This window comes from Homo sapiens, chromosome 17 (genome assembly GCF_000001405.40).
Source record: "Homo sapiens chromosome 17, GRCh38.p14 Primary Assembly".
Classification (NCBI taxonomy): domain Eukaryota; kingdom Metazoa; phylum Chordata; class Mammalia; order Primates; family Hominidae; genus Homo; species Homo sapiens.
In genome coordinates, this window is record NC_000017.11 from 36,914,194 (window position 1) to 36,935,980 (window position 21,787).

The 21,787-nt window shown below is 51.6% G+C and overlaps 1 long non-coding RNA gene across 4 annotated transcripts in view, besides 7 other annotated features; it reads right to left on the minus strand.

Moving 5' to 3' along the window:
- The window catches only part of LHX1-DT (LHX1 divergent transcript), a 74,988-nt gene that overhangs the window by 52,520 nt on the left and 681 nt on the right, over window positions 1-21,787 (minus strand). Inside the window, exons 2-3 of one of the 4 annotated variants that reach the window (NR_135669.1) lie at window positions 19,011-19,203; window positions 13,507-13,612 (exon numbers count right to left, since the gene is read on the minus strand). The exons of 2 other annotated variants lie outside the window; for them this stretch is intronic. This is a non-coding gene — a long non-coding RNA (LHX1 divergent transcript). Of the gene's footprint in view, window positions 1-13,506; window positions 13,613-17,915; window positions 19,319-21,787 lie in introns of those variants that run through there. One more of the 4 variants, NR_135668.1, reaches the window with a different exon arrangement.
- Window positions 3,949-4,468: an enhancer, noted in NCBI's record as "H3K4me1 hESC enhancer chr17:35275423-35275942 (GRCh37/hg19 assembly coordinates)". NCBI's record gives its function as "activates a minimal SCP1, AML or CMV promoter by ChIP-STARR-seq in primed H9 embryonic stem cells {active_cell/tissue: H9 hESC(primed)}" and the evidence as "EXISTENCE:reporter gene assay evidence [ECO:0000049][PMID:30033119]".
- Window positions 4,469-4,986: an enhancer, noted in NCBI's record as "H3K4me1 hESC enhancer chr17:35275943-35276460 (GRCh37/hg19 assembly coordinates)". NCBI's record gives its function as "activates a minimal SCP1, AML or CMV promoter by ChIP-STARR-seq in primed H9 embryonic stem cells {active_cell/tissue: H9 hESC(primed)}" and the evidence as "EXISTENCE:reporter gene assay evidence [ECO:0000049][PMID:30033119]".
- Window positions 6,767-7,963: an enhancer, noted in NCBI's record as "P300/CBP strongly-dependent group 1 enhancer chr17:35278241-35279440 (GRCh37/hg19 assembly coordinates)". NCBI's record gives its function as "activates an origin of replication core promoter dependent on BRD2, BRD4, P300/CBP, MED14 and CDK7 cofactors, with strong dependence on P300/CBP, by STARR-seq in HCT116 cells {active_cell/tissue: HCT116}" and the evidence as "EXISTENCE:reporter gene assay evidence [ECO:0000049][PMID:35650434]".
- Window positions 17,554-18,071: an enhancer, noted in NCBI's record as "H3K4me1 hESC enhancer chr17:35289047-35289564 (GRCh37/hg19 assembly coordinates)". NCBI's record gives its function as "activates a minimal SCP1, AML or CMV promoter by ChIP-STARR-seq in naive H9 embryonic stem cells {active_cell/tissue: H9 hESC(naive)}" and the evidence as "EXISTENCE:reporter gene assay evidence [ECO:0000049][PMID:30033119]".
- Window positions 18,072-18,589: an enhancer, noted in NCBI's record as "H3K4me1 hESC enhancer chr17:35289565-35290082 (GRCh37/hg19 assembly coordinates)". NCBI's record gives its function as "activates a minimal SCP1, AML or CMV promoter by ChIP-STARR-seq in naive H9 embryonic stem cells {active_cell/tissue: H9 hESC(naive)}" and the evidence as "EXISTENCE:reporter gene assay evidence [ECO:0000049][PMID:30033119]".
- Window positions 18,672-19,587: an enhancer, noted in NCBI's record as "H3K4me1 hESC enhancer chr17:35290165-35291080 (GRCh37/hg19 assembly coordinates)". NCBI's record gives its function as "activates a minimal SCP1, AML or CMV promoter by ChIP-STARR-seq in naive H9 embryonic stem cells {active_cell/tissue: H9 hESC(naive)}" and the evidence as "EXISTENCE:reporter gene assay evidence [ECO:0000049][PMID:30033119]".
- Window positions 21,416-21,787: part of an enhancer, noted in NCBI's record as "H3K4me1 hESC enhancer chr17:35292909-35293822 (GRCh37/hg19 assembly coordinates)", that runs on past the window's edge. NCBI's record gives its function as "activates a minimal SCP1, AML or CMV promoter by ChIP-STARR-seq in naive H9 embryonic stem cells {active_cell/tissue: H9 hESC(naive)}" and the evidence as "EXISTENCE:reporter gene assay evidence [ECO:0000049][PMID:30033119]".

A 21,787-nucleotide genomic window follows, 5' to 3' on the forward strand; every position in this document is an offset into this window, starting at 1 on the left:
GCCATGGCTAGAGAAACCGCTACCATGAACAGTCAACTGCTACCCCTAGCCAACCCAGCGGCTCACACATGTAATCCCAGCTCCGTGGCTCACACCTGTAATCCCAGCACTTTGGGAGGCCCATTCGGGAGAATCACTTCAAGCCAGGAGAGCAAGACTAGCCTGGACAACGTAGCAAGACCCCACCTCTATCTTTAAAAAGAAATGCCACCTCAAATTATCCACCACACAGAACCCTCTGTAAAACGGTGATGTAAGATATAGCTCCCAATAACTTTTTTATTCCTAGTCACTTTGGCTACACCAAACTTTTACATTAATGTTGATATTCATTAATTTATTTTAGAGACAGAGTCTCTCTCTGTCATGCCCAGGCTGGAGTGCAGTGGTGTGATCTCGGCTCACTACAACCTCTCCCTCCCAGGTTCAAGCGATTCTCCTGCCTCAGTCTCCCAAGTAGCTAGGATTTCAGGTGCCCGCCACCATGCCTGGCTAAGCTTTTGTATTTTTAGTAGAGACAGGGTTTCACCATATTGGCCAGGCTGGTCTTGAACTCTTGACCTCAGGTGATCCGCCCACCTCGGCCTCCCAAATTGCTGGGATTACAAGTGTGAGCCACCGCACCTAGCCAATATGTATTATTTTAAAATATTGACTGTTGACAGTGTCAGGTGCTGCTTCAGGGGCTGGGGATACAGGAGTGAACAAATCGTCTATGAATCCTGGCCCTTGTGTAGCTCACATTCCACCGTGTACTATTACCTCCCACCTTGGGATTCGGATGTATCTAGAGTCAGAGTGACTTGGGTTCATATCCCAGTGCTGCCTCTCAGCAGCTGTAGGGTAGGGTTATTTAATCTCTCTTGGCCTCGGTTTATTTATCTGTAACATGGGTATGCTGATACCTATCTCAGAGGCATATTATGGGGAGGATTAAGCTCCTTCCCTTGTCCCATTCCCTGGTGGGGCAGAGTTTGGAGTTAAGCCACAAGGAAGGTAGAAAAGAGGGAGGCAAGGGTGCGGCAAACCGACAAGGCACATGTATACATATGTAACAAACCTGCACATTGTGCACATGTACCCTAGAACTTAAAGTATAATAATAAAAAACAAATAAATAAAATAAATAAAAAACTATTAACAGAAAAAAAGAAAAGAAAAGAAAAGAGGGAGGTAAAAGCCAGAAGATCACTCTGGGCTGGCAAATGAATGTCTGATTAAGTCCTCCTCTCGACGTCTGGGTTGGCTATCCCGGCTGGCCACGACAGTCCCTCCTACCTGCGCGGCACTTCACAGTCTACAAAGCTATTGCGTGACTAGCCTCCCAGCAAATTCTCATCAGCCACACGCTGGGTTAGGAAAGTGGGTCCAGGAGGAACCTGGTTTAGAAAGGGGGAGTGTTTCTACTATAAAGACACATGCACACGTATGTTTATTGCAGCCCTGTTCACAATAGCAAAGACTTGGAACCAACCCAAATGCCCATCAATGATAGACTGGATAAAGAAAATGTGGCACATATACACCATGGAATACTACACAGCCATAAAAAAAATGAGTTCATGTTGTTTGCAGGGACTTGGATGAAGCTGGAAACCATCATTCTCAGCAAACTCACACAGGAACAGGAAACCAAACACCGCGTGTTCTCACTCATAAGTGGGAGTTGAACAATGAGAACAGATGAACACAGGGAGGGGAACAACACACACCAGGGCCTGTCGGGGGGTGGGAGGCCAGGGGAGGGATAGCATTAGGAGAAATACCTAATGTAGATGATGGGTTGATGGGTGCAGCAAACCACAATGGCACGTGTATACCTATGTAACAAAGCTGCACAGTCTGCACATGTATCCCAGAACTTAAAGTATAATAAACAATAATAATAATGAAAAAAGAAAGGGGGAGTGCTCCCTGCATCATGCAGGGCTGAAGCCCAGACATCTGACTCCTCCCAGCATGCCCTCCTTCATCCATGTGGCCTTTCTGAGTGATGAGAGATGTCACTGGGATCCAGAAAGGGTCACCCCAACTGGCCAGAAGCAGGGATTCACCCACTTATGCCAAAACTGAAGGTGGGTCTTGCATGTTGAGGCACCAGGGCCCCTTCAGCTGGAGCAAGATTGCCTCCAGGTCAGAGGCCACAGCACCCATAGCTCTTGCGTCCCCTCCTTTGCCATCTCAACACTGCCCCCACTCTTGGATACTCACGCAGGGTGTTTGATCATTTCAGATTGCCTCAGCATCCTCTTCCACAAAGCAAGGGGGTATGCTGAGATGGCCCTAAAACCTTTTCGACCTGATGTTCTAGGATTTTGGAGGTCCTCTGCAGAGTGCTGGCCCCACTTCTCCGCTGATAGGCAACCATAGAAAGCCTTGGTTTTCCTCCTCCTTGGGGGAGCTGTCCCACCTGTGATGGCCTAACGGGTCCTGCTCACCCTCAGACCTTTCTCACTGATTCGACGTCATCTTCCACCCCCACCCCGACCTTCCCTGGGATAGTGATGAACCACCAGACATGGTCCCCAAGAGACCCAGCCTCAGAAAAAGTTCTCCATCACCCTGATCAGACCAAAGTCGATTTGGAGGCCAGGGGGAGGACGGGAGCCAATGGTGTTTAGTAAAAAGAGCTCAAGTGGGTTATCTTCAGGGAGGGGCATGTGGCTGCAGAATAGATGTCTGTCCTGAGGACTCTTAGGGCTCGCTCTTTCTTCCCTACCGCTGCACCCCACCCCAGGGCCAGCAGGGCATGTGGGAGGGAGTCTGGAAGCAAGTGAAAAGAACGCTCTCCTGAGTGCTCTTCCTCCCAGCAAAAATAAAACTACTACGGTTGGAGGCCTCCCTGGGCCAGGTACAGTGCTAGGCCATTGACTTGCATGATTTCCATTTAAAGGGGGTGGCATTTGCTCCATTTTTTATCTCTAAGTGCTGTGGGCATCTTGGTCTCGGCCTGGTCAGCTTTGGGACTGATGATCAGCCAATTCTGGCCATGGAATAGGAAGGTTGCAGTACATGGTGAGGAAAATGCTGCCCACTGTGTCCCACCAATCAGCACACACATGCACATGCGCACACACACACACACATGCACGCACACACACACACACACGCATCCCTCTCCTCTCTCTTGGCCAGGTGGATGCTGGCTCCATCAGCCTGGGCTGAAGCTAGATCCAGGGAGAGGAGGCTACCACTAGGAAGGCCACAGGTAAAAAGCTAAAGGAATCAGGGACATGAGTGGGGCAAATTCTCAGCTTTCAATGACAAGAACATTGCCTCCAAACCAGCAATTATGGGTGCCCATGAAACTCAAGGGTGGAGAAAAGGGACACTGGCAAAGTGTCTGCTTTTTATCCCACTAATGCCTCTTGAGAAGTGATATCCCTCTAAAGCCAAAGTTCCTGAGATGAGGTTTAACATGGCCACTTTGGAAGAAAAAAAAAAAACCCTCGGCTCCAGGAACGTAACAACAGAAAATAATTAAGGTCTAATAAGGTCAGTGTTCCACCTTAACACCTTTTCAGTTCCAGTTAAAACCTCTACTAATTTGCCAAGAAAAACCAGCCTCACTTGGGCCTTATTATTTGAATCACGTCCTGTCTCTTAATTTAAACGAGAGACTCACATAAGGATTTTTTTTTATTTTAAATTACAATGCTGACTTTCTTCCAGTTGATTACGGTATATGACTCTCTGTTAGAAGGCCATTATTTTTTGCTATGATTTACAAAGCATTTAAAGCGAAATCAATGTAATAAATATCGAAGTATTGTAATAGATAATTCCATATATTTAACTGGAGACACAGCACAGCCCTGGTTCAGGCAGTCAGGAGATGAGCAGGGTGAGGACGGGATGGGGGAGACAGCTGGTATCCACTCTCTTCTTTTCTCCCCTTTTCTTTTCTCTGTATTCATTTAGCCAGGATTCACCCAGCCCTCCCTAAGATTCTGCACACTGGACTTGGGACTGTGGGGAGTCATGGGTGCTCAAGACGCATTATCCAGAGGCCGTGGGCTGTTTGAAGAAATTCCTCTGCAACAACTGGCTCATGAATACTGGAGGCCACCGTGGGTGGGAGGCCACACTAGCACCCTCTAAGGAGCTGTGATGAGAGAAGATTTCTCATCACAGTGGAGGAGAGGTGTGGGTGGGGGGCAGGTCAGGAAAGGCTTTTGCTAGCATCTCCTCCTTTCCTCTTCCTGCTCCTCCCCTCCCCTTCTTAACTCCTCCTTTCCCTCCTCTTCCCCTCCTCTGCCCTCCTCTCATTCCTGTCTCTTCCCTCCCTGGACTGAGCTGTCTCTAGGCCTCTGGCGGCAACCAGCACATACTGGCCTCTGACTGGACAAGCTCAGCTCAGGACAATCAGCCCAGCATTTGCAGATGTGAAAGCCCCCGAGGAGGGCAGAAGTGTGAAGGTGGATAGGGTGCCCAGCCTTCATCTGCCCTCTCAAGTGTGTGACCTTGTGTTCACCCCCAGTGACAGAGCTCACAGCAGTGTTTGCAGGGCCAGTCGCTTTGAGACTGCCTGCCCTGGGGCAGGGAGCAAATTTCAAGCTGCCTTCCTTCCTGTGCACCCCCATCTCAAAAAGGACCCAGAAGCAGGTTCCTTTCCAGCTAGCCCCTGACCTGCCACTCCATGAGGAGCACCCCCAGCCCCGCCACTTCTTCCTGGCCTCAGAGCTATTGTGTGGGGGTCACACATCTGCTCCCAGGTGGGCTCTGCTCCCGGGTTCCTGGCTGGATTCAGAAACTCATGCCCACCAGTGAGGGGGCCACACATGGGCCACCAGCCTATGGGTGGGTCCAGATAACACATCTCCACTGCAAGTCATGTGTTCTGTCTGCAGAGCTATTCGAGTGCCATGGGATCTTAATAAGGGCTTTGTGGACTCAATGCTGCAGCTCGTGATGGGGTGTGGGTAGCACACTTTTAGCAGATCCCAGAGAAGGAAGATGTATGGTCCCTTGCCGTACCACCCCAAGCCTGAACCCAAAGCCCCAAGTCCCTAGCTCTGAACAGATTTCACCATAAATCCCAGGAGGGGACGGGCAGAGGGAAAGGGAGCAGAGAAAAGAGATTTACAGCGAACTTGCTTCCTGACACCTCTTTGGCCCGTCCCATAAAATAACAATATCATCAGATAAATCATACAGAGTCTCAGGGGACCTTCCCCTTGTCTTTGTGGGGTCTTTGAGGGGAGATGAGGAGACATGGTCAGGTCCACCCAGCTGCGTTCTCCCTGGCAATATCAGTTCCAGCTGCCATGAGGACGTCTCAGATTTAATCCCTGGGCTATGTATGGGGTGGTGGGGTAGGAATGAGGTAGGGAAGAAGAGTGTTGGCTATGGACACCCAAGAGACAGCATGGCATAAGAGATTCAGCATGAGCTTTGAGCAAATCCCGGCTCAAATTCCTAGCTGTGTGACCTCAGACAAGTTACTCAACCTCTCTGGGCCTTGGTTTATTTCTCTGTAAATGCAGGACATGGAATATCTACATGACAGGATATGTATGAGGAGTTATTGAGAATAATGTATGCCAAAGCTGGTGTATCGTAGGTACTTAAAATACGGGAACTACCGTAGCCACAAATGTTTTCTCTCATCTAGGATATAAAATGCTGTGGCCGTGTTCCCAGCAGAGGGAATCAAATGCTGAGCCCTCTGCAGAGACACCACACTCCCTTGTCCTCTCTGGCTATTGTCTCAGCCTTGGTCTTTGAGCTTAGAAAGGCAGAGCTCCCCATTAACTCACAATGTGACTGTAAACAAGTTTCTTCCCCTCTCCAGGCCTGTTTCGCATCTATAAAATGAGGAGGTGGAAAGTACTTGGTCTTTAAGGCCCAGTCCATTGTAAGATAAAATCTCAAATCAGGAGAAATTTCTAACTGTAACCAAAGGGAGCAGGCAGGACCCAGACGCTGCAGGCGGTGAAGCCAGCTGAAACTGGCATGGTCATGCAGCCTGGGGCGGACGCTGTTGCCATCCTAGGAAGAGAGTGTAGGGCTCCATCCAACCGGTCCCACAACTCTGACCACCCCAAGTGAGAGATTCCTCTGTCTGCAGCCTGCATGGCCGTGGACACAGTCTGCGGCATTGCACCAAGGGACCTTCGTCCAGGGGGAGGGCTGTGTTTCCAGAGCTGGGAGCTGGGTGGGTGAGGCTCCATCCAGGCTCATGCTTCGTACCTGGAGCAACCTCGTACTTCCCTTCCTGCCTGTGCGGTCTCCTCCTCCCGCCAGTCCTCCCCAACCCTGTTTTTTCCCCTCCCTTCAGCATCTTCAGCTATTAAGGATGATAGCTTGGGCTTGGGCTCCAGCCTTCCAGCCTCTGCCCTCTCTCTCTCTCCCTCCTTCCTTCTTTCCTTTCTCCTCTTGCTTTTCCATCTTCTCCTTGTACTTCATTTCCTCCTCTCTTTCCTTCCTTCTCCAGTTCCTCCCTTTTCCTCCTTCACTGTTTGATTTTTAGCCCTCTGATTTTTTCTTCCTCTTCTCCACTCTTTATTTCTTTTCATCCTCCTCCCGGTCCTTTTTTCTGCTTTGTCACCTCCTTCGTTTTCTTCTCTCTCTGGCTGACTCAGGGGACCGGAGGTGGGCCTATCTGGAGTGAGTGAGTAAGTGTGTTGGGAGGTGAGGGTGGAGGGCTGGAGGGGGGCAGTGATCTGGCCTGAGCCCCTCCAGTATTGCTCCAGCCCCAGCCGCAGGAGGATCAGGAGTTCACCCGCAGGGCAGCTGTCAGCGGCTCAGTGGATGGATGAGTGAAAGTGTAGGGGGTGGGGAGGTGAAGTTGCTGGAGAGGGGGCCCTTTTTAAATAAAAATGAAAGGAGCTTGGCGGATGAAGTGACAGGGACTGTTTCATAATAAGCCCCACCCAAGGCACCTCTGCCAGGGGACCCAGCCCTGCTGCCCACCTCCCTCCAATCCTGTGCCCTGTCTCCATCCCCAAAGTTTCTTTCAGCACAGAGCCTGTTTGTTTCTCTGATCTTCTGGGCAGGCCAGAGAGCAGGCAATCCCCCACACTCAACTCCCCAGAACCACTCCCCGCCCAGCCTTCCCCATCTCCCACTGTGGGGCGGCTGGGATTGGAACCCTGGGCAACCTGCTCACAGAGTGATGTCTGGGCAGATTAGCACCCCAAAGCTGGCAGGCCTATTAGGAGGCCTTTGTGGGGGAGGAGACCAGGGGAGGCGAAAGGGATTTTCCATTCTCTGAGCAACTGGATTACACAGTCAGGGGATCAGGGAAGAACTGCTACTTAAGCTGCCTCTGCCCTGGCTCTCCGCCTCTCACGGGCTCAGCAGGGATCTTACCAAGCCCTGCCTTGCCTGCTTTTTGAAGAATCTTTATGTAACTTGAGTTAGGTTTAGGGGCAAAACCAAGTCTCATCTCCTGCCCAGCCCTGAGCTATTACACCAAACAGGAGCTCAAGAGGGCTCCGCTTGCCACCACTTCCGCCAAGCCTCACCTTCCACAGAGCCCCCAGGTCTGGAGGTGGATCTGGAAGGTGTGACTCAGAATGGTGAAGTGACTTGCTCTGAGTCACACCATGAGTGAAAGGCAACCAGGATAGCTACCTGACTGTGGACTGGATTTATGGGAGAATGTTCTCTGAAGAGTGAGCCAGGTCTGTGCCAGGGACTGGAAGGGGCCCAAGGCTCTGCTGTTCCCCCTACAAGAAGGAAGTTTGCAGTCTGGGCACGGTGGCTCACACCTGTAATCCGAGCACTTTGAGAGTCTAAGGCAGGAGGATTGATTGACCCCAGGAGTTCAAGACCAGCCTGGGTAACATAGGGAGACATCTCTATAAAAAATTTAAAAATTAGCCAGGTGTGGTGGCATGTTCCTGTGGTCCCAGCTACCTGGGAGGCTGAGGTGGGAGGATAGGTTGGGCCCATGAGTTGGAGCCATGATAATGCCACTGCACTCTAGCCTGGGTGACAGAGCAAGACCTTGTCTCAAAAAAATAAAAAAGAAGGAAGTTTGTTCCTGAGTTTTTTGTCAGCCCAATATATGCTTTAGAGGGAGGGGAACCCTACTCCCATTTGTTCTCTCAGGCTGCAGAAGACCAGACCACAGTGGATGGTGAAGAAGAGGAGAGATGTGGAGAAGATTAGGTTGAAAGAGTCCCAAGTCTTAAAGCCTACTCCCAGCCTTATCACTAACTTGCTGTGTGACCTTGGACAAACCACCTCTCCTCTCTGAGCTTCAGTTTTCTTATCTGCAAAATGGAGATGAAAACTTCTCTTTCAAGCATTGTCTTGAAGGGTGAATAAGACAAGGTACTAGAAGAGCATCAGGCACAGCCCCTGGCACATACAGCTGCTCCCTCAATAATAGTGGAAGCAAAGTCTTTTCCCCAGGAGCTGCTGGAAGCAGAATCTTCCACCCAGGAGCTGTGCCCACTCCCTAGGATAGCAGGCTCTGCTACACAGCCAAGCAACTGGTTCTTCCCACCAGGAGGGCAAATCCATCAGATTCAGCAAGATTGGCCTCCCCAGCCTGGCATAAGGTTACTGGGGGGTCATGACCCCATACCTTAGGTCCACTTTCTAGAAACAGTCCGCACACAAGAGGACCAAAGACCCCCACCCTAGCCCTGTGTGGCCCCTGAAGGCCTTTTGCTGACAAAGTGGTCATCTCTGACCTTCCTGATGGCCTATGCTCCTTCCAACCAGAAAATGTCTGTGATCCTGTGACCCCTAGAAGCCCTGCCTTGCTAATGGTTTTATGATCTTCCCTACAGAATTCTCTCTTTGCCTTCTATACCTCTCAGCCCCTTTCAGTAGGTCCTAGTCAAAATAAACAACATTTATGACCAGAGCAAGATTCAAGGTCTGCATTGCAAACAAATGCAGAGCTCTTTGAAGGTGCCTGGGGAATCCATCACTTCCTGGGGTGTGACGTTCCCCAGGCCCAAGGGGAGGTAGGCCCTGGGAAGGGACTCAAGCCTGAGAAGCTGGGCCCTGGATCAGAGTTTAGAGTCTGAGGATCCCCTACTGCCTCTCCCTCCTCAGCACCAAACTCATCCTCTATGCAAGAGGAGAGGGGAGGGGAGAAGAGGGACTGGGCATGGCATGAGAGGTCCGCTGTGCCCAGCAACCTCTCCTACGCTATGTTCAAGGCCACCTTGGTGGCCAGGACTTGATCCATATGTCATCAGGGGAGAAGACAAAATGAAAGAGAGGGGGGAAAATACAGAGATAAACAAAGACACAGGCAGCAAACAGGAGTGAATGAGAGGGTTAGAGACCAAACCCAAGGGTCTCAGCCTTGATCCCTACTCTGGCACTCACCTGGACAGAAGAGCCGCCACCATGGCCACGCTGGGACAACTTTCCTAAAGAAAACTCATCCAAAACTCTGCAGGCCAGTGTAGCTAAAGGGAGAGAGGGAAAGAGAGAAGCAGGCTCCCGTCTGAGTTTCTCTCGGAGGCCTGAGTGAGTGATTACACAGAGGGAAAAGTGGAGGCCCTCCATACAGAATGAAAACCCTCTCCTCCATCCCACCACAGATGAGAGGCAGAAGCCCTCCCCCATACTCTCCTAAACATCCTCCAACAGAGAAGCGGCCCGCAGGCGGCAGCTCAGGCTGTGTTGTCTCAGTTTTGCCTTCTGCACGCTACTGTGGATGAGAGGCAGTCTTCTCTGGCAGGTGTGGTCACGGAGCAGGTTTGTTTTCAAGGGGGACTGGCCCTGCCTGGGGAACTGTTAGTGGAGAATATTAATGTGGGATTCCCAAAGGCCCAGGTCTGAGAGCAGCTTTCTAGGACACACAGCTCAATGCGTTCTTCAGCACCATGCCAGCCTCCAGAACTGGGGCACGGGCCTGGGGGCTGGTGTTCTCTGACTCACAGCTGGGCTTGGGGGGTGGGGGGAGAAAACTTTCCTCCTGGAGCCTGTGCCTTATCATTTACCCTGCTAAAAATATTATGCTATCCAACAGGTTGGGTGAGGAGCTAGCCAGGAAATATGTGTGGGTAGCAAAGGTATCTATCACATTTATCAGATCCCCACGAATAGTATTTGTATATGTGGCATATAATTAATGTTCGATGAGTGAGTCAGAGAGAGATAAATTGGAAAGGAAACAAAGAAACAGAAAGAGAGCTGGAAATGCAAGTGTGAGTGTTTCCAGGATAAATATACTTTGTTTGAAATTATTCTTTGCCTAAACTGAAAGAAGAATAATTTTTAATAACTTTTAATGACCTTATACAAGTAAATGTAGATGTTTCATCAGGGTGCCCTGGTACCCAGCACAGTGCTTTTTGTATGGAAAGTCCTCCATGTCATAGAGCTTTTGGTCTAGAAGAGCCTTGGAGACCATCTCAGCCACTGGGTCTCAACCTTGGTTGAACATAGAATAACCTGGGGAGCTTTAAAAAAAAAAAAGATGCAAGGAACTCACCTCCCAGAGATGCTAATCTAACTGGTCTGGGGTGGAGCCCAGACATCTGTATTTTTTGAAAGCTCCCCGGATGATTCCTCTGTGCATCCAAGGTTGAGAACTGCCCATCCAGGCCCATTCTTTTTTTTTTTTTTTTTTTTTTTTTTTGAGACAGAGTGAAGTGGCGCGATCTTGGCTCACTGCAAACTCCACCCTCCGAGTTCAAGCAATTCTCCTGCCTCAGCCTCCCGAGTAGCTGGGATTACAGGTGCCCACCACCAAACCTGGCCAATTTTTGTATTTTTAGTAGAGACGGGGTTTCGCCATGTTGGCCAGGCTGCTTTCAAACTCCTGACCTCAGGTGATCCACCCGCCTTGGCCTCCCAAAGTGCTTGGATTACAGACATAAGCCACCACATCCAGCCCCAGGCCTGTTCTTTACAGATGTGCAAACTGAGGCCTAGAGAGCAGGTTGCCTAGATCCACACAGCTAATTGGCAGCAGAATCAGGATCAGAGAAGCTAATCAGGCATCCTGACTCCTATATACCTCTCTGACATGTTTGTCAAATGAGCAAATAAAAGGTTGATCCTCTTTTGGAGGCATCTGTCTGCAGAGACCAGCTACCCCACCCCCTCTCCCACTCCTACGTTTTCATATTATTTTCATCAGAGGCTAGACAGGCTGGCATCTTGACCCTGATCCTCCAGGCTTCCCATCCTGAAGGCCTCAGGGTTCACAGGGCAAACACACAGTTCCCAGGTAAAAAAAACTGTCCACCACGTCTGGAGCCTCCAAGAGTAACAGAGCAGCTGCTGCTCCATGGCCATACGGAGCGTGTCAGTGAATGTTAGTGTACTCCCCAGAGCAGGGGTGGAGGAGTGTGCATGTGTGTGTGCAAATGTGCACATGCACACAAATGCACATTTCAGGAGGAGACTGGGCAGAACAGTCTCCTGCATGTGGGCACACATCCTTCTGGGAACATCAGCACTTGGCAGTGAGAGTACCAACATGTGTACACATACATATCCACATGTGGGGTGAGACGCATGTTGCTGTTAGCATCCGTCTATGCAGGAGGGTAGGTAAGTGTGTGAGAAAATGTGTAAATGTAACAAAGACTTTGAAAAGCGGCCTGTGTGTGCTGCTACATGTATCTAGAATCGTGTACCAGTACAGAAATCTGAATCTACATTTCTAAAATCTACATTTACACTTACCTGTGAAGGCATATATACGAAAATATGTACATGGCTGGCTGGCCATGTGACTAAGTGTGACTGGCAGTCTGTGTTTGCAGGATGCAGGTTTATGTGAGAGAGAAAGGTTTCTGCTGTTTCTATCACACTTCCCCTAAGTAATCACTGGGAAACATATATGTTGGAAAACTGTATCTTTCATGCTTAAATATATCTCAGCATATATAAATGAAACATGATACTGTGCCAACTGAGATGCTACACATTAACGTTGTTTATCATTGATAGAATTAAATAACCCATGCAAGGCCCTGGTAGCATTTCTTACAATTTTATTTAACACTGTTTTGGCCAAGCAGCACTTGGCAAACACACATACACACTGTGGCTTACTGTAACAAATGCACGATTTGTAGGACATAATACACAATACAAGAAAAGTATAACAAAAGAGTGTCATCTAAAAATTCCAAATGACCCCCATCTTTCTTTGGGGCTCATCTTATTCCCCTTCCTTCCCTAAACCTGACGAAAACCCATCCCTTCACACTTCCCTAGGAGGTCTCTGCATTCGTGCTAAAGACAGATAAAGTGGAGGGTGAGGATTTGAGGTGGGGGAAGAGATAACACTCCAAGACCTGGTCTCTGGAATGTGTCTACTCCTCCCCAGTCTGTCAGAGGCAGGCCCAAGCCCCAGCATGTGTTAAAACTGAGAGACCAAAGAAAGCATTTTTGTATAGGTTCTGCAGACCCTCAACATTGACTGACATAGTTACTCATTCAGAAGGAGGAAAAGGAGCTTCGTACTTATCAGATTGGTAAATCCTTCATTAAAAGATTAATATAAATAGTTCCTTGCTTTTATTTCTTTCTTTCTTTCTTTTTCTTTTTTTTTTTTTTTTTTTTTCGAGATGGGGTCTCACTCTGTCACCCAAGCTGGAAGGCAGTGAGTGGCATGGTTCTCAGCTCACTGCAATCTTTGCCTCCTGGACTCAAGTGACCTCCCACCTCAGCCTCTCGCCCACTTTTCTTTCTTATGGGGAAACTATATCCTTCCTGGAGCCTAAATGAGAACAACCTTGCACACAGTTACAGGCTTGCCAGCTCACCTTTCAAAATGCATGCTGGTCAATGGACTAGAATGTTAGCTAAATTATGAATGGCCTGAGGGAAAAGAAAAACTAAGAGCTGGGAAGCTGGGCTCTTCATCTACACGACCAAACTTGAACATGAGCAAGATGGTAGGACCACCAATAACCATCCTACAAGCTGAAAATGCAAAATGCTTCCTTCCTTACCAGCCACTGGGCAGTGAAAAGAAATCACATTTAGTCCCCTGAATAGATGGCACTTGTAGATCTTTTCAAACTTGCCAAGGACTTCTTCATCTCCCAAGAGTCAGGCCAAGATCCCACAGGGAACCTCAAAACTCTGTTCCCTAGGATCTGTATTTTTGTTTTTGTTTTTTAAATTTTTTTTTAAGTTTTTATTTTTGGAGATGAGGTCTCACTATGTTGGCCAGGCTGGCCTCGAACTCCTAGCCTCAAGCAATCCTCCCATCTTGATCTCCCAAAGTGCTGGGATTACAGGCCTGAGCCAAGGTGCCCGGTCCCTAGGATCCGTTTTTAACCATCCCTGGGCTTCATTTTGGCACGGCAGTACCAAGATTGAGACAAGAAACTCTTCCCTATGCTTGCTTTCCTGTGTTCTAAGTTTCTCTCGCTACTTTTTCTCCTATGGAGACCCCTTAGGACTGTAAAATAAAGGAGGCCAAGTCCAATTTAAACAGCAATTGGACTTAACTCCACCCCTGTGCCCCAAATCCTCTGCCACTACCAACGAAGCAGTCATCAGAACTGTCTTTTTAGACAGCCCCCGGCCCCTCTTCAAGGACGGGCAGGGCTATCAGCCAACCTGTTTGGGAGACAGCTGAATGTCAGCACCAGAAAGTATTGTATCATCTTCGCACCGCTGGAGTCAGGAAGTGGGGTCTCCAGAGCCTGGTGCCAGGGCCTGTCTCCTGAGTGAATACAGAAGGAAAAAAAGTTTCCTAACATTTGGATTCAAAGTGAGAACGGTGAGTGGCACCCATCATCACTGTGCGTGCAACCCCAACAAACACACACGCGCGCGCGCGCGCGCACACACACACACACACACACACACACTGTCCATGCAGACAAAATCATGAATCATCTCCATGGCTGAACGTTTTAGCGTTCAGTAATATTCTCAGAGGCCCAAGGTTTTCAGCCAAATCCCAGGTCTGTGCACAAGGACACTGCATAAATCCCTCCCCTTATGAAAGGCCAGTCTGAGCAGATGGGACCACTCTTAAGTAAACTGTAGAGCCCTCCCTTCATCCATCGCGGAAGGAGCAGCGGGGGGGCTGGCCCTCTCAGCCCCGAGAGCAGAGAGCGGCAGAAGCTGTTAATTCTTGAGGCTAATGTTCACATCTCCAACTTATCTCTCCGAGGGGAAGTGTCCATTTGACCACATGATCCTCCCTCCCCTACCCTCCCCCAAGGGGAAATCAAATCTTGAAGTGAGACCGGAAGAGCTGCTGCGGAACGTGAGCACGGGAGAGCTGGTGGGGGTAGAAGGCGGTGAGGGGCCGAAAGGCTCCTCAAACCCAGTTTCTTTCCATGCTAAGGCTGGGGAAATAACCTCATGGCAACTACACTTTCCGATAACCCGCCTCATTAATATTTATTAAACAAAAGATTATTTTTTAAAGAAGAAAGGGCCAGATAATTAAACACTCAGCGGAGGTAGATGGCATCAGTTGGGCTTCCTCCACCCTGTTCTTGGTGTGGCCCCCACCCGCAGCCTAAGCCGAATGTGTACCTTGTACCATCAACCTCCCCAGCCCCTGCTCATCTCCCCAGGTGTGTCAGGAAGACACAAGGCAGGTGGAAAGAGAAAGAGACAGACTCGGGCACCCCAGGTGCTCACCAGGAAATGCACAGACTGTGAAATTACACCAGGGCTGGACAACTTACCACCACACTGGAACCCTTGGGGTACTGAAATAATTAACTTGCTAATCAGCTACACCTTGCTCTTTCTTTCTTCCTGGAAAAAAACAATTGCAAATCGCCTTCCCATCAGGTTCCCATGTCAGTCACTTGGAGACCAACAATGCTTTTGAAGAAATACACTCTCTGCCGCCATGTAGACCAAAATGGGTCATACCAAGTCAGGCCTCCTCCTCCCCAACCCTTCCCACTAGGCCTCAGGGGGCACACAGAGACACAATGTTTCTGGAGATGCAGGGTTTTTTTTTTCCCTCCCACTGCACAGAGCTTTTCCATGTCCGCTAAGCTTTCTTGCTTTCAGCCCCCTTTAGCCTGCTTGCTGGCACTAAACAGCCAAGATCCATGTGGAGAAAAGAGGATTGATTAGAATTGCAATAATGATCCCTGGCATCTGTCCGGTGTTAGTGTTCACAAAGTGTTTTCACACATTATCTCATTCGGCCAGAGGAGGTCGGAGCTGGAAGGGACCTCAGTAATCATTTAGCCGAATCCCCTCATGTTACAGATGAGAAAACTGAGGCCCGGAAAGGCTAAACGTCTTCCCTAATGGCCAGGGACAGTGTAGCCAAGTCTCCAAGCTCCTTGTCTAGGAATCCTGTGCTGCTTCCAACCCTCTGAAAAGAAAGAGCGTGGTCACGTTTTTGCGCCACAGTAGATATTAAACAAGTAGATATTAATCCAAAAATGAGAAAAGTAGAACATGAGAATGAATAAAAGCAACTCCTGTAAGAAATGGCTTGGGTTGGGGGGCGGCTGGAAGTGGGGAAGACAATTAGTCTAAGTCCTGAATGGAACACGTTAATTAACAAAGTTCCCCCTCTTTTTGTCCCCCTTCATCTCTCCACTTCTCTCCAGGTTTAAAAATATGAACATTATGCAGTTTGGAATCTAAGGCTTAATTCAGCTGCAGGTCCCGGGAGGAGAGGGAGTCTTTTCTTGGCTTCAGATCTGGCACCTATGCTCCCAAGGGTTGGCAGCATGACGGGCTTGTGTGTGCCTCTGTGTCCACTCAAGACGTTGGATTTAGCAGTGAAAACCAGGCATCTTGATCCTTTCACAGATCAGATGATTTGCAAATTAATGGCTCTTTTCCCCCAAGGCTCTGAGGAGGTTAAAAAAGATTTCTGGTGAAGGGGGGTGGAAAAATATAAAACGGGGAAAGGAAAGGAAACTGACATTGGATTTTGTGTCAGGAAAATACTTCCCTGTGAATGGCGCTTGTGTGCGTGGACATGGGTGTCTGCATTTCCATGGGGCTGTCGTGCCCCTGTTGCCCGAGGCTGTTGGAAGGTAAGCGGTTCCTTTGTGTGTTCGTTTATTACTAAGCCCAACTCTTTCCCCTCTAAAACTCCTTCTTCTCCCTGTTGAGCTGACCATGCTTCTGGATTTATGAAGAGAGATGTTTTAGCAGAAATCCCCCAGAGTGTCCCATCAGCCCTAAATCCCAGGCCCGCTCACCCCCACAAGACCCCATGACACACAGCATGCCAACACGGCTTCCTCTTGCCTATGCATTAGCCATCCATTGTGGCAACCTGACATCTCTCACACATAAAACCGTAAGAGAGAAATAAAATATCTGTCTCTTGGCGAAAATAAAGCTTTGCCTCCCTCCTGATGTATAGGATATAAAATAAAGCCTCGGCTCCAATAGTGGGTTTTCCTTATGCCAGAGTTGCCTTTGCACACACGGAGACAATGAAGACGGATGGTTTGGGACGAGGCCCAGCCTCCTGGGGCCGCCTTCACCCTCTTTTATTATAGTCTCTCCCCCCTCCCTGCCTTTTTCTTTCTTCTTCACTTTCTTTCCTTTCTGGGTTGGATTTGCCTTTTATATGCCCTTCTCTTTCTTTCCCCTGGAACTTTATTTCTCCTGCTCACTTTCTTTCTAAAGCTTGACAGAGATGGTGGGAAAGGAACCAAGTTTCTCACCTTCCCAAACATGCCTGCCACCTCTCCTCACCTCCCCATCTCCGATCCCCAGCTCTCTCTGGACCACCAGCCCCTCTGACTCATTTTGCTGCTGCTGCTTTGAGATTTGCTTTGGTCAAATGTACAAATGTTCCCAAGGGACAATTAAAAATGTGTTTAGTGGTGGGGAGGGGGTGGATTTTTTTCTAGGGAGCTGCCCTTCCTCCCTCCTTTTTCTCTCTGGGCTGGGTGGTTTATAGATCTCAGCATTTCTTTATTTAGCCTCTGAGGAGGCCAACAGAGCAAAGCTGCCACCTCACAGGGGTGAGAGTTGACATTCACCTCCCAAACCTAAGCCTCAAAGCTGCATTACCAGACAGACTGTGGGCGTTGGACCCCTTCCAGCCAACTCAGCTACCAAGGGGACCATCAAGTCCCAGACCAGTCCCCTGCCTCTTCTCCCCAGTCTAAGAACTGAGGGTGCTGTGAGGGAACATAGGGGGCTTCCCCATGCTCACACAGAGAGACCAGAACTGTCACCCTCACAGTCACAGAGACATGACCACCTTCCTGCCTCTCACACACTTGGCGCTCCTTCCCACAGTGCATAGAGCCCACCTTTCCCTCCTTTGTCCCTAGAGGCCTCTCTCTTGCCTGGTGGCAACTGCGCCTCTCTGCGCCTCTGTGTCTCTCAACCCAAGTCTGAGGAAGGTTGTCTCTGGAAGCCTCTCCCCATCCTTGCCCTGACCTCCCACCACTCTCCTTCCATCAACCCCAGACTGCTTCTCAGCCCGTTCAAAACCTCACCTGCCTTAGGGGACTGCGGGACACCGCCCAGGTCCTTGGAAGAGTTAGTACTGCCTGAAAGAAGAGGGTGCAGGGTCTGGGCCCCTGGGGGAACAACATGGGAGGGGGAGCTGGTATTGCAGGGAGGTAAGAAATGTCCCAGGGACAGGGGTGGCTTTCAGCCTCTGAAACTGATCTCCCAAGGTGGAGGGCGGTAGAAGGGCTTCAGTGTGTGTAACCACATCACCCTAATCTGAGGAGATCTTTATTAATGCTGCCCAAAACCTGGAGGGGGAAGGAAGGCAGCAATATCTATGGAACTCTGCCCAAAAGTGGAGGTGGGGGCAGGGCTTAGAGCTGCCAAGTCCAGAAAAAACTCAATCTCAGTCCCAAAGGTCGTTAGCTTTGGGGTTCTCTCTCTCTGTCTCCCCCAACTTGATGTCTCTCCAGATATCGGCAGTGACCACCGCCATTAGGTAAGGGGAGAGAGTCAATTAGTGAGAGGATTAATTACTGTGAGGCACGAGCCCCGTTTGTCTTCCTTACTGGGTGTTCAGACAGAGGAACACGGGCACGCACCCAAATACACATTGTTGTCACGCCGTCTTAGACGTTTTATTTATTTGTTGGATTCCTGCCCAGAGCCGCTTTTCCACGGGCGCAGAGTCTCCCACCAAACACGCTGCCTCTTTCTCTCAGCACGCACTCGCCTGTCCCAAAGCCGCACACCCCCAGACCCGCGGGACGCCCCCTCCGTGCCTGCAGGGCCCTCGGCTCCGCGCCCGTCCCCGCGGCCTTCTTCGTGGCAGGGTCTCTCTCTGGGTCTAATTTCTGTTTCTTTTCCTCCACTTCTCCCCGCATTTCCCCGACAGATCTTTCCTTTCTTTATCCCCGCCTGCTTTTCCGCACTCCGTCTCATCTTTTCTCTGGTTTTCTGCCTTTATTTTCTTTTCCTGTCCCTCTCTCCTCACTTCTGCCTCTGTCTCTCTTTTCTGTTCTTCAGCTCAGCGTCTCCCTCCCAAGATTATCCACGTCCTGTCTTTGCTCCGCGGCGCGGAGCTGACTCGCAACTGGAATCTCCACGCTTGACCTCGCTGTTCCACCCGCTCCCTGCCCCACCCCACGCCCCTGCCCCCCCTCCCCCACGCCCCTGCCCCATGCCCAGGGTCCCTCCAGCGCTCGTGGGAAGCCAGAGTTGTTTACCCAGGCCAGGCACATACCGTGACGCCCCGGCCTGCCGGATGCTGCCCTTTCCTGGCCCTGCGGTCCCTGCTCCCCCTTAACCAGCCCAAGCCCCCCTTGCTTATAAAACATGGCCAGGCGCAAAGTGCACACTGGAGCAAGGTGCCAAGCTCCCCACCCAACTTCTCACCTTAAATAGTGCTCTGACCTAGGGATCTCGGACAAGCCTCCTAACTTGGGCCTCCTGGCCGGGAAAGTGGAGATAGTACCCTTCTCTTCCACCCCCCACCACCCTCTTGCTATACGGTTCAGGGGAGACCGTGATACAAGCTGTGAAGTACTGCACACGAGTAGATCATTTCCATGAGAGAGTGATGGGTGAGATTAAGGCAATTTGAGTCCGGAGAGAACTAGACGGGAAGGAGAGGCGGGAGACCTTGGCGCTCAGATCCGAGCGACCTTATCCACGCAGTTCCCTGCGTGGCATTACCGCGGCCTCACCGAGTCTGGGCGGAGTTTGCGTGGCCTCTGGGACCGGCAGAGTCCAGGGGTGCTCCGGGCTGGCTATTTCCTCCCTCCTCCGGGATGGGTGTAGCAGGGTGTGTACTCCGCATGGGGTAACCTCCTAGAGCCGGCTACGCCCCAGGCGCCTCCTTTCACGGCCTTGTCACTCTTTTCTGCTCCTTGGGCTGTTCTGGAACCGAAGAGAGAGGAGGGAAATGGCTAGGGGCGGCCATCATCCTCGGGATCAATAGCAGCCGAGAGTGACTGGGCAGGCTCTGTCCATGGGCCGAGCGTCATTCTGGAACCTGGAGGGGGCGGGGGCGGGGGAAGGAAGGGAAGTGGAAGTTTGAGAGGGGCACCTTCAGGCTCCCCAAACTGCATGGCAGCTGGAGAGAGCTGACAGAACCCTCTCCAACCCGGGTTCTGACCAGGGTCCCTCTGGGGCTGATCGTCAAGGAGCTTCTCAAGAAAAGAAACCTGGACTGTGAAAGTCACCTCCTAGGCCCTCTGGGGCCGTATCCGGGGGTGCCTGGGAGGAGGGTGGAAAGGATTCTGCAGTCACCGAGCTATGGGCGAAAATGATCCCCGCGGACCCTGGTCCAGAATGTACAGGTCCTGGGCGGTGTAAGTGGCTGTGGGTCTGTGGAGGACATTGGGTAGGAAAACGCTTGCGTAGTTGAGGATGCAGACAATAAATGTGGCCGGGAAGGTGAGGAGGGAAGGTTGGTGCTCTTCGCTGAACGGAACTGGCTTAAATGCAGAGCTGAGCTGAGCGGCTTCGGAGAAGGCGAATTTAGAAAGCCTGGTCAATTTTCTCTCCATGTCCCTGCGACCGATTATGTTTTAAAACAAAAGCTCAATGGAAACGAAAACAAAACAAAACCCACCATTTGTCTAATGTGCTGTCCCCGTGGAGGAGTTAAATCTGGACTCCAAACCTAGAATCTGGAGCCAAGAGGCGCACTTTGAGTTGCGCTCCTGGCCCCCCTTGCAGAGACGCCAGGGTTGGCTCCTGCGGACCTGTTTACTGAGCCATCTGGACACCAGGACGAGCGGAGCCTGACGCCCTAGAGCGAGCGTCCTGTCCTCATCCTCAACTCTCCTGCCTCGCTGGTCCGTCTGTGGGGAGGGGCCTTCTTTCCCCTATACCTAGGTCCCAAGGTTCTTACACCCCTAAATGGATGGAGCAACCTCCTCCTGCCCACCAGAGGGAGGTGACAGGCCCTGGGTTGGGGAAGGGCCGACAGCTAGGTCCAGCTGTCGTCCGGTAGGTCCCACTGACCGCCCCACACTCCACCGTGACCCCTCTGCTTTGCATGAGAAGGAGCCCAGCTGGGACGGGGGCGGAGGCAAGCCACCCGGGACTGGGGCCACTATAGATTCCAGAAAGGGGCGGTTGGGTCGAGGGCGCTGGCGGCGAGAACCGGGACAGCTGCGGGGAGGGGAGGAGTGTGAGGACAGCAGGGCTGGACTGGCCCCCTCCCCGCAGGCCTCACGCAGCGCAGCAGGCTGGGAGGCGCCTGGGGGTCCGGGTGGAAGAAGTGGGGACCCCATGCCACACGGCTTTTGGCGCTTGCGGGGGTGCCAGAAGCCTACCGAGTACCGGTCGTCTTCCGCCGGGAAGTGCCGGGTCCGCAGGAGGAGCGCGAAGCCGAGTCCGAGCCCGCGGAGCCCGCCCCCTAGATCGCAGAACCGCCTTCTCCATCCTCTGCCCTGCCCCGCGTCGGGGTCTGGGAGCGACCGGCGGAGGCCGGCGGCGCGCCGGAGCTGACTAGTCCCCTACGCTCCTCCGGCCCGCAGCGGGGAGCCCACATGTGTATGTGCAAGAAGGTGTGGAGAAGGCGTTAGGGTCCCGGCACCCACGGGTCAGGGCAGAACGCCAACGAGTCGCACTGCGGGTCTCCGCGGCTTCGGTTTCCATGACATGGTGACGCCGGCGGCAAGGCGGGGGGCTGCCTGTGGGCCTTGAGGTTGCTGGGCGGTGCGGGCGGAGTCAGCAAAGGGGCGTTGGCAAAGCCCTAAAACCCCACGGTTCCACGGAGCGCAAGCCAGATTCTCTGAAGCAGCTTCCCCGTTCGTCCGAAGAGGGTATTCCATCTGCACAGCGGGATTCCCTGCCAGCCCAGGTTCACTGCGACTCCGCTTCCCCGAGCATTTCCCCCGTTTCAGCTTCCGTCTGGTCTGCGCATCGCGAGTGGGGTCCAAAGGCCAATTCCACAATACCAGCCAGCTCCGGAGGGACGCCCACTATCACTGCCTTCCATGCTCGGGCCAAATGAGCCTTCCTAGCACCCCCTCCCCCGAAGCACAAAAACGGGGAGCAAAAGTGGGACCGCCCAGCCCAACCACCTTCAGACTCCACTTCAGGAGAAATCCTGGTTAAGCCCACCCAGAACAGGTGTGGTCGAAACGGAATTTAGGGTTTGACTTGAGTGCTCCGAAAAACTACAGTAACTCTTCCAGGCGAAGGCACTCTAGACCAGGATCTGTCCCCCACGTGTGGGAAAATAGGCCCCTGGGGGCGGCGGTCCCGAGTTCCTAGCCAGAGCGGGATTAGGGAGTTACGGGTTCCCTGAGGAGTGAACTATGGAGGGTGTGGTTTGCTGTTGTCTGGGGAAGCCGGTGCCAACCCGAAGCCTGGACAGGGGAGGACTGGAATCCCGGCACACGCTGCCCATGCACTGCACGCCCATCTACTGCAGCCTCTTCGTGGCGTCCCGGCACCCCCCCCTCCTCCTTCCCTCTTCCCAACGCCACGACCACCACCCCCAGCC